We start from the raw sequence: 12201 nt of genomic DNA on the forward strand, positions 1-12201 counted from the left end.
TAAGATTAAAGTGTTAATTAAAGGCAAGCCCCAGGGAGAAGCAACTTCCTGGGCATACGCCTTAAGAGAAAAAATGGCGAACTATGATCTTCCAGGTGTACTCCACTGGAAAAAGGAAGAAAGCCTCAGATGGGAATGCGTACAACTTCCTAAACACACTGCTCTTGCTCAATTCCCAAGGGTAAGCCCACCCTAAAGGAAGAATCATGAGAAAGAGGCGAGCCTACAAAGTCCCAGTATCAAGGTTAAAGGCCCTTCTTTTCTCTCGTTTACCTTCAGGTGCCCATGGATCTCTTCCAAGGATTCTTTCCTTTCTTTCCTGTTCTAAAGCTTTTTAATAAACCTCCACTCCTGCTCTAGAACTTGCCTGGGTCTCTTTTCTTCTTTATGCCCCTTAGCGAATTCTTTCTTCTGAAGAGGCAAAGGCTGAAGTTGCTGCAGACCCACACAGATATGCTGCCTGTAACTTGGCTGTCTTCCACTGCCAACACCATGACCCCTTGTTTGGTTTCCATTAATTTGCTGGAGAGGCTCACAGAATTTATGGAAATATTTATACATTTACTGACTTATTATAAAGGCTATTGCAAAGGATACATACAAACAGGTGTGTAGGGAGAGGTATGGGGGAAGGGGCATGGAGCTTCCATGGCCTCCCTGGGCAGTACTCTCTGGGAACTTCCCTGTGTTCAGAGATCCAGAAGCTCCTCAAACCCAGTCCTCCTGAATTTTTATGGAAGCTTCATAATGTCAGCAATCCTTCCCCCAGGGTATAGGTTGGGACCTTCTGTGGGGAGATATTTAAGACCCAGAATCAAAAAAGCAGGAGTCCTGCCTTCAGGAAAGTGAAAAGACAGGAGAAGGTCAGAGAGATCCTGTTTCCTGAGGCCTATCGCTGAGGCCTAACACACCCAACATTACAACAAAAGACTTGTATCAAGGGTTATGGGAGTTATGTCATAATACTACAATAATACATTTACTATAGACACCATGTTGTACAGTAAATCTCTTGAAATTCTTCCTCCTATCTAACTGAAATTTTGTATCTTTTGACCAACATCTCCCCAACCCAACCTCCTCCAACTACCCTAGTCTCTGGTAACCACCATTCTACTCTCTGCTTCTATAATCAAAATTTTTAAGAATTTTAAATAAATTTTAAATGAATAGTTCAATAACATTTTCCAAGATTGAAAAGTAATAATGTTCTTAATGGAAAGGCGCACCCAGCAAGATGAATTCCAAACAAGACGAATAAAGTTGCACACCAACATTTGTCATAATGAATTATCAGAGCACCAGAGAAAAACAGATGTATACAAAGGATCCAGAGAGAAATGAACTGAAAATCAACAAATAAGAAAAATAATATCCTCTACAAAGAAAAAGTAAAAATGGCATTGGACATCTTGACAGTAATATTGGAAGACAGAAGCAATGTGAGCAAAGGCTTCAAAATTATGAAAAAGAATTATGTCCTGCCTAGAATTCCTACTTTCAGCCAAACTCTAAATATCTAAAACAAGAGTAGAATAAAAACATAATGAGATATGCATCATTGTAATAAATTGCTTTTCCATCTATTTATATGGCAAATACACTGGGAGATGTGTTGCTTCAAATCCAGAGTAAAAATATCCTGGCTACTGTGGAATGTTTTGACTAATGAAAAGTTGTCTTTACAACCAAACTGATTATTGCAATACTCCTAAGAACAGATGTGGCCTGGATACAGCAGTCAATACCACAGGCATTTCTGAGGAGTTGGAAAATTGAATAACTGACACTTTTTAAATTTTTATTGTTTAATGCCAACTCCATTCAATAACTTCTGACTCACATAGGCTACCTGGGCTGGGTCAGTTTCTTTCACTTTGTCATATTGCACAGCAGAGTATACTTGCCCGTGCATTTTTCTTATCCCATATGATTTCATTTTTATCTTTTTTTTAATCAAACATGTCCTGGTATTACACCAAAGTCAGAAAAGAAGGGAGTCCAATTAATCACACAAACTAAATTAGTTGAGGTTTTAATTTGAATTTTAAAAAAGTTCCTATTCTTATTTACTGCAAAGGGTCGATAGTATGGTTCTCATTTTTCTCTCAGGAGTAGAAAACAGCAATATATTTAATAAAACAAATTTTGGTTGAAGTTTTAAAAATGATTTTGACCCTTTATAGATATCGCGATAAGAGGTTGTAACATTTATAATTTTTCTTATTATTTTATAATTTCAACTTTTATTTTAGATACAGGGTGTACATGCCCAGGTTTGTTACATGAGTATATTGCATGATGCTGAGGTTTGGGATACAGATCCTGCCACCCAGGTAGTGAGGATAGTACTCAATGGTAGTTTTTCTACCACGAGAAAGGCAGATTTCTTGATATATATATATATATATAATAACTGCTGTGTTATATATTTTCTATCAAATTCCTAAAAGTAGTACTAAATATCATTAACCCTATTTAAAGAGATTTCACATACAATGGGCCATAGTACATAGTACATAAACAAATATATTAAAGACACTAACATTTTTACCAATATACTTAAAATCTAAGTAAATGTTACAAATGTTGAAGAAATATGGCTTGGGATAAACTTTCAAGTAAATGGCTAACTATATTTTAACTACTATTAGTTTTTAAATATTTTTATTCCCTTTTCATATTTATTTGGTTCAAATATATTGATTTTAAAATACAGACCTTTTAATTGTTTTCATTGCTAAATTCTTCGTATACTCACATGATAAAATAGTGTGTGGACAAGAATGACCAATTTGACTTTGCAAACAAATATTTGAAAAATTTTTTTCTTAAGTCAACTTTGACCTTGGAAATGCTAACAAGGCAGTGTCTATGGAATTCTGTAATAACCCACCATCCTTACCAGCTTCTTTGATGTTGATTCTAACAATGATCTGGATGCTATTAAAGCACACGTTTGAATTTATTTGAGAGAGTACAATAGCAACCCTTTTATGATTTTTTTCCAGAGAGTGTAACCTCAAACCTGCTGCTACCAAAAGCTATCAGCATCTAAACAGAGAAACAAATGTTTCTTGGAGTATTACACTAAAATTATGTCCTCCAACTCTACTTTTCATTACTATGAAATAAACTCCTAAACTGACTGTAGCTACCAGAGGGGCTGAGAACCTCAACGGAATTTTAATGACATTCTCTGTATTATTCCTCTAACTTGCTTGTGCTTTTGCAGCGACAAAATAAGAAATACTCAATGAAGCCATTTTTGTATTTTCTAAAAAAGATTTTATGAAAAGTGTTGAGGTGTTCAAAAGTAATTAGGTGAAAGAAATAGATTGAGACAGTCAATCAGTTTGAAATAAATATAAAAAGCAATAATTTCCTAACTTTTCAGCTAATTATTATTTATTTGATTTTTAAAAAATGTTTGGAAATAATTATTATACAAACATGGAATAATTATATCTAATTTTATTCTTAAAGTAAAATGTATAATTAGAAGGTATATTTATTGAAAGGAGAAATTAAACTATAATTTCATACTGCAGTGCTTACCAGATGGTGCACTGCTGTACTCCTAGCACTCACAAACTAGCTCTAAAAGAATGTACATACATCCTAGAGTTTTAAAAATTGTATTAAAGCTATACTATATAATCTCCCTTTAAGATTCAAAAACATACTAATATATTTAAAATGCTGAGGAATCATACAATAAAAATAGTTTATCATTTTCCCAAAGATATTAGACAATAAAAAACTTTTTCCAATGCATATTGATTATAATTTTAATATTCCAAACTTACATTTCAGAAAATATTGTTCCACATCATAGGTGGACACACTGTTTCAGTAAATGACCATATAGTAAACATTTTTGTTTCTATGAAAGAGAAGGTCTTTGCTACATCTGTCATTTCTGTCACCACTACTAAAGTCAACAATTGTAGTGTGAAAGCAGCCACAGACATCAGAAACAAAGGAGTATGACTCTGGCCCAGTAGAATTTTATTTATAAGAACATGTGGCAGGCTGGGTTTGGCCCACTTTGTTGGCTGACCCCTGATCTACGTACCCTATTCTCAAACAGGTTTGTAAGGTCTAAGATTTAATGAAATGTTTATTGGTGAAAATGAGGAAAAATGAGTAGGTCAAGATTACACTTATAGCTGCTCAGTCTAATAGCTATATTTTTAACAAGTCTTCGGTTAAACTCAATCTCCTCTATTCTTTCCTCAACTATAAAATGTAATGACAATAATATCTATCTAATGAAATTATTACAAAGCATATGAAAAATAAAACTTAGAAATTATGTATCATATATTTGCTCAATCAAATGATAGTCATTGTCTTTTTCAATTATTTTACAACTACTTGTGATATTTTCATAAAAATAGTCTGCTGCTAAAACATAACTTAAAATTCTACAGTAAGATTTCTTCACCTTTATTTTACATTCAGTTGTTTGAAAAGCTTAAAAAAAATTTAAACAACAAAAAAATCCAGATAATTTTTTGTATGTTAAATTTTTTCATTTTCTTTATGCAAAAGCATTTTTAATGAAATCCCTCATTTTTAATTATCTATTTTTTGTTTGAAAATTTTTAATTATCTGTTTTTTCCTAATGAAAATTATTTTCTTTTGCCTAATGAAAAGTATGGCTCCTAAAACTCTTTAAATTTCTATTTTTATAATTGCTGCTCAAATGTAACAATGAGCATGTATGCTTAAGCAAGCAATTAATATGACTTCAAAGTATGTTTTATTCCTAACCAAATTTCCCTTTGTTATTTCAATATGGTATCCAATTGGAGAATTTGAATTTTATTAATTTGCATGTATCCATTCTAATTTGCGTGTATCTTTTGGAATAGGCCAGTTTTTTACATAAACATAAAAGTAAACAAACAGATACTATATACTTAGACATGTAATGATTAGTTAAAAGTCACTACTTTCCCTACCTCAACATTGCTGGTAGTCTGAGTGATATTTTATAGCAAAAAAAGTTTAAAGAATAAAGCCAGGTTTTAATTGAAATTGGCTAGTAAACTTCTTAGTCTTAATGATTCTATGAGGAAGAGACTAGGTCAGAACTTTTCATTTTAGATTTTATATGTATATATAAAATATATAAATATATATATATATATTTTTAATGTGGCTCAGTGTATAAGCTCCTGAAATTTCACACCTATGACCATGTACCAAAGACAATATGACTTTTACAGAAAAATGAGGGTACAATTTGAATACCAGCTCTGCTTTATGATATTTGTGTGTTTTTTTTAATGTATTTATTTATTTTGAGACGGAGTCTCTCTCTGTCACCCACTCTGGGGTGCAGTGATGTGATCTTGGCTCACTGCAATCTCCTTGCCTCTTAGATTCAAGCAATTCTCCTGCCTCAGCCCCCTAAGTAGCTGAGATTACAGGTGCCCACCACCATACCCAGCTAATTTTTCTATTTTAGTGGAGACGGGGTTTCACCATGTTGGTCAGGGTGATATCGAACTCCTGACCTCAAGCAATCCACCCACCTTGGCCTCCCAAAGTGCAGGGATTACAGGCATGAGCCACCGTGCCCGGCCTTATGATCTTTAAACTTCAAAATGTTAAGGTTTTTTTGTACCCTCCCTTTTCAAATACAAAGTGGAGGCAATAATGTCTTCATTGCAAATTGGGTTTAGAATTACATGAGATTAAGCATTCTGTAAAGAGCCTAGAAGAGCAGCACTACGTTGGAATATATGATGTACCTTCAAAATCCCAATGTCCAAGCCACAGTCATATTAATTAAATTAGAATACGTGGGTATGAAATCCAGCCATTAGCATTTTTATTATCCTCTCAGTTGATTCTAAAACACAGCCAAGCTCAACAATTATAGGTCTGCAGCAAGAGTTCTCAAACTTCAATTAGAAACTGATCAACTGGGGGTTTTGTTAGAGTCAAGGCTCAGCAGTACCAGGGAGGCTTCTTAAATTCTTCCCTTCTGAAAAATACCCACAGCTGATGCTGGTGGCTGCTGTGCATGGAGTATACGTGGAGTAGCAAGGGCTCAATGATACTGTTTTTATTTACTTTCTGTAGAGGAGGTTTGAAATCCAGGCAGAAAATTGAAAACTGGTTTATTTGTTTACTTTTCAATTCACTACAATGATGCAATTCCTATGCTCAGCAAACTAATTTGGCGTTTAAGGCACAATCTTAATTATTATTAATATAAATTAAAAATTTGAGAAGTTTATTTCCAAAACATAATGATTCCTTTTCTTTTCCTTCTAAGGTAAAACTGAAAACTACACAGGAAACATTTATAAGTAGAAATTATAAAAATTACAATTATAGTTCCAGAGCTATATTATATATAGCTCAAATTATATTTTGTCTAAAAAATTAGTTTAAATTCTGAATCAGATTTAAACTTTTTAAATTAAAAAGTATTCTTATTTTTTATTCTACATTATTAAAAGAGTATTCTAAGATATAAACATGTATACACACACACACACACACACACACACACACACACACAGAGACACCATATTGTGCTTACAAAAGAATTATATTAGCATGAATATATGAATATGAGAGTTTTTCCAGATGGATGCTTCTGGAGAATTGTAGCCATTCCATTTTTGAGTCTTTCTGTCTTCTTTCCAAATAAGCTGGTGATATTAATGAGATTTTTTTGTTTGTGCCTGAAGAGTTTCTTAAAACGGTTACGGGACTTCAGAGAGATTACCTCAGGTTGTCCCTACATTTTATTTTATATACTATTGCTTTTTCAAAAGACATGTCTTTCAGTGACTGAAAATTGCTTATTGGAGAAATCATAAGAAAAAAAAATCCCTCAAAGTAATAGTCTAGATTTTTTCTCTCTTTGAATGTATTTTAAAATACTTACTTAAAAAGGTTATGTTTGTGCACTACTCATTTGTTTTATTATAATTATTTGCAAATAGTCAGGGACACACAGGTTATTAGTGTCATATAGCACTAATACAAGAATTGTAAAACACAGTTGTTTTCTTTTGGGGAAGTGTAGAGAAAAACTTACAAGTGGAGAAAGAGCAGAGCGCACAAAATACCAAATCTCCCATTGTCTCAGAGGGAGCCGTGCCAGTGTTCAGTTCTGGACTGCACACGTAATGGCTGCTCTTCTCAGAAAGTATACCCCACCTTCTGAATATTTTATGCATCATAGAGATAGGAAGTCAAGGAAATTCTAAATGAGGTCATAAGAATGAAATTGTTCCTCACTGAGGAAAAGCCTTTGCTCAGATACAAACTGGGAGCCTCCAAGCTCTGGAACATGAGTCTCCTCTCATGGGATGACTCAGCTTTCTGCTAAGTTCCTTCAAAGGGGGAGGACATGAATTTATACGGTCATCCAGATCTTTGTCTCCCAGAAATATTAACATCCCACTAAACTGTCAGTGCCTGGTAAGCATATATATACTCATTCTGCTAATTAATCATAACTGGATTTTGTTACAGAGCATCCACAGAAAAACTTTTATATTTGAGTTACAAAATACATTAAAGTATAAATCTAAAGCATAAAATTAATGAAAAACTACACACCAATTGTTCTAGTTTACCTGAAAATCTTTATACTAAAAAGATACATTATACATTCAAGTGCATTCATTTAAAATATTTCACAGGTTAAAAGAGAATAATTGAAATTTGGTTTGAAATATGCAAAAGCCAGGACTGCTGGCAAGATGGCCAAATAGGAGCAGCTCCAGTCTGCAGCTCCCAGCGAGATCGAGGCAGAAAGTGTGTGATTTTTGCATTTCCAACTGAGGTAACCAGTTCATCTCATTGGGACTGGTTGGACAGTGGATGCAGCCCAAGGAGGGCCAGCCAAAGCAGGGTGGGGCATCGCCTCACCCAGGAAGTGCAATGGGTCAGGGAACTCCCTCTCCTAGCCAAGGAAGCCATTAGGGACTGTACAGTGCACTCCAGCCCAGATACTGTGCTTTTTCCATGGTCTTTGCAACCTACAGACCAGTAGATTCACTCCAGTGCCCACACCACCAGGGCCCTGGGTTTCTAGCAAAAAACTGGATGGCAGTTTGGGCAGACATTGAGCTAGCTGCAGGAGTTTTTTTTTTTTTTTTTTTTTTTTTTCATTCCACAGTGGCACCCAGAACAACAGCGAGACAGAACCGTTCACTCACGTGGAAGGGGGGCTGAAGCCAGGGAGCCACATGGTCTGGCTCAGCTGGTCTCACAACCACAGAGCTCAGCAAGCTAAGATCCACTGGCTTGAAATTCTCGCTACTAGCACAGCAGTCTGAGCTCGACCTGGGATGCTAGAGCTTGGTGCGGGGAGGGGTGTCTGCCATTGCTGAAGCTTGAGTAGGCTGTTTTACCCTCACAGTGTAAACAAAGCCACCTGGAAATTTGAACTGGGAGGAGCCCACCGCAGCTCAGCAAGGCCACTGCGGCCAGACTGCCCCTCCAGATTCCCTCCTCTCTGGGCAGGGCATCTCTGGAAAAAAAGGCAGCAGCCCGAGTCAGGGACTTATATATGAAATTCCACCTCTCTGGAGCAGAGCAGGCAGGAAGGCGTGGTTGGGGGTGCAGCTTCAGCAGACTTAAACTTCCCTGCCTGGCAGCTCTGAAGAGAGCAGGGAATCTCCCAGCACAGCACTCGAGCTCTGATAACAGACAGACTGCCTCCTCAAGTGGATCCCCGACTCCCATGTATCCTGACTAGGAGTCAGCTACCAGTAGGGGCCAACAGACAACTCATACAGAAGAGCTCTGGTTGTCATTTGGCAAGTGCCCCTCTGGGATGAAGCTTCCAGAGGAAGAAACAGGCAGCAATCTTTGCTGTTCTGTAGCCTCCACTGGTGATACCCAGGCAAGCAAGGTCTGGAGTGACCTCCAGCAAACTCCATCAGACCAGCAGCAAAGGGGCTTGACTCGTTAGGAGGAAAACTAACAAACAGAAAGGAATAGTATCAACATCAACAAAAACGACATCCACTCAGAGACCCCAGCTGAAGGTCACCGACTTCAAAGACCAAAGGTAGATAAATCCACGAAGATGGGGAGAAACCAGCACAAAAAGGCTGAAAGTTCCAAAATCCAGAACTCCTCGTCTCCTCCAAAGGATCACAATTCCTCACCAGCAAAGGAACAAAACTGGACAGATAATGATTTTGACAAATTGACAGAAGTAGGCTTCAGAAGGCAGGTAGTAGCAAACTCCTCCGAGCTAAAGGAGCATGATCTAAACCAATGCAAGGAAGCTAAGAACCTTGAAAAAAGGTTAGATGAATTGCTAACTAGAATAACCCGTTTAGAGAAGAAAATAAATGACCCGATGGAGCTGAAAAACACAGCATGAGAACATCGTGAAGCACACACAAGTATCAATAGCCAAATCAAGCAGAAGAAAGAATATCAGAGATTGAAGATTAACTCAATGAAATAAAGTGAGAAGACAAGATTAAAGAAAAAAGAGTGAAAAGTAACCAGGAGCTGGTTTTTCTAAAAGATCAACAAAATAGATAGACTGCTAGCCAGACTAATAAAGAAGAAAAGAGAGAAGAATCAAATAGATGCAATAAAAAATGATAAAGGGGATATCACCACCAACCCCAGAGAAATACAAACTACCATCAGAGAATAGTATAACCACCTCTACAAAAATAAACTAGTAAATCTAGAAGAAATGGATAAGTTCCTGAACACATACACCCTCCCAAGACTAAACCAGGAAGAAGTCGAAATATGGAAGGAAGAACCAAGAAATATGGGACTATGTGAAAAGACCAAATCTACGTCTGATTGGTGAACCTGAACGTGACAGGGAGAACAGAACCAAGTTGGAAACAATCTTCAGGATATTATCCAGGAGAACTTCCCCAACCTAGCAAGGAAGGCCAACATTCAAATTCAGGAAATACAGAGAACACCACAAAGATACTCTTTGAGAAGAGCAACTCAAAAACATATAATCATCAGATTCACCAAGGTTGAAATGAAGGAAGAGATATTAAGGGCAGCCAGAGAGAAAGGTCGGGTTATCCACAAATGGAAGCCCATCAGACTAACAGCAGTCTCTCAGCAGAAACCCTACAAGCCAGAAGAGAGTGGGGGCCAATATTCAACATTCTTAAAGAAAAGAATTTTCAACCCAGAATTTCATATCCAGCCAAACTAAGCTTCATAAGCGGAGGAGACATAAAATCTTTTACAGACAAGCAAATGCTGAGAGATTTTTGTTACCTCCAGATTTTGCCTTACAAGAGCTCCTGAAGGAAGCACTAAACATGGAAAGGATCAACCGGTACCAGCCACTTCAAAAACAAACCAAATTGTAAAGACAATTGATGCTATGAAGAAACTGCATCACTAATGGGCAAAATAACCAGCTAGCATCATAATGACAGGATCAAATTCACAAATAACAATATTAATCTTAAAATGTAAATAGGATAGTTGCCTCAATTAAAAGACACAGACTAGCGAATTGGATAAAAGCTGAAAATCCATCTCTGTGCTGTATTCAGGAGACCCATCTCACATGCAGAGACACATACGGTCTCAAAATAAAGGGATGGAGGAATATTTAACAGCAAATGAAAGGCAAAAAAAAAAAGCAGGGGTTGCAATCCTAGTCTCTTATAAAACAGACTTTAAACCAACAAAGTTCAAAAGAGACAAAGAAGGCCATTACATAATGGTAAAGGAGATCAATGAAACAAAAAGAGGATGCACCCAATACAGGAGCATCCAGAATCATAAAGCAAGCTCTTAGAGACCTACAAAGAGACTTAAACTCCCACAGAATAATAGTGGGAGATTTTAACACCCCACTGTCCATATTAGACAGATCAATGAGACTGAAAATTAACAAGTATATCCAGTACTTGAACTCAGCTCTGGACCAAGAGGACCTAATAGACATCTACAGAACTCTCCACCCCAAATCAACAGAATATACATTCTCCTCAGCACCATATCACACTTATTCTAAAATTGACCACATAATTGGAAGTAAAACACTCCTTAGCAAACGCAAAAGAATGGAAATCATAAACAATCTCTCAGACCACAGTGCAATCAAATTAGAACTCAAGATTAGGAAACTCACTCAAAACTGCACAACTACATGGAAACTGAACAACCTGCTCCTGAATGACTACTGGGTACATAATGAAATGAAGGCAGAAATAAAGATGTTCTTTGAAACCAATGAGAACAAAGACACAACATACCAGAATATCTGGGACACATTTAAAGCAGTGTGTAGAGGGATACTTATAGTACTAAATGCCCACAAGAGAAAGCAGGAAAGATCTAAAATCGACACCCTAACATCACATTTAAAAGAACTAGAGAAGCAGGAGCAAAAAAATTCAAAAGCTAGCAGAAGGCAAGAAATAACTAAAATCAGAGCAGAACTGAAGGAGATAGAGACACGGAAAATCCCTTCAAAAAATCAATGAATCCAGGAGCTGGTTTTTTGAAAAGATCAACAAAATAGATAGACTTCTAGCCAGACTAATAAAGAAGAAAAGAGAGAAAAATTAAATAGATGCAATAAAAAATGATAAAGGGGATATCACCACTGACTCCACAGAAATACAAACTACCATCAGAGAATACTATAAACACCTCTACAAAAATAAACTAGAAAATCTAGAAGAAATGGATAAGTTCCTGGACACATACACCCTCCCAAGACTAAACCAGGAAGAAGTCGAATCCCTAAATAGACCAATAACAAGTTCTGAAATTGAGGCAGCAATTAATAGCCTACCAACCAAAAAAGTCCAGGACCAGATGGATTCACAGTCGAATTCTACCAGAGGTACAAAGAGGAGCTGGTACCATTCCCTCTGAAACTATTCCAAACAATAGAAAAAGAGGGAATCCTCCCTAACTTATTTTATGAGGCTAGCATCATGTGAATACCAAAACCTGGCAGAGACACAACAAAGAAAGCTTTCAGGCCAATATCCTTGATGAACATTGATGTGAAAATGCTCAATAAAATATATCAAACTGAATCCAGCAGCACATCAAAAAGCTTATCCACCATGATCAAGTCAGCTTCATCCTGGGGACGCAAGGCTGGTTCAACATGCACAAATCAATAAATGTAATCCATCACATAAACACAACCAACGAAAAAAACCACATGATCATCTCAATAGATGACG

General features: G+C 36.5%; 1 long non-coding RNA gene across 1 annotated transcript in view; it reads right to left on the minus strand.

The window, feature by feature from the left end:
* Nucleotides 1-12201, minus strand: part of LINC01609 (long intergenic non-protein coding RNA 1609) — a 137243-nt gene that overhangs the window by 93664 nt on the left and 31378 nt on the right. The gene's annotated exons all lie outside the window — the stretch shown is intronic.

This window comes from Homo sapiens, chromosome 8 (assembly GCF_000001405.40).
Source record: "Homo sapiens chromosome 8, GRCh38.p14 Primary Assembly".
In the NCBI taxonomy this organism is placed as follows: Eukaryota; Metazoa; Chordata; class Mammalia; order Primates; family Hominidae; genus Homo; species Homo sapiens.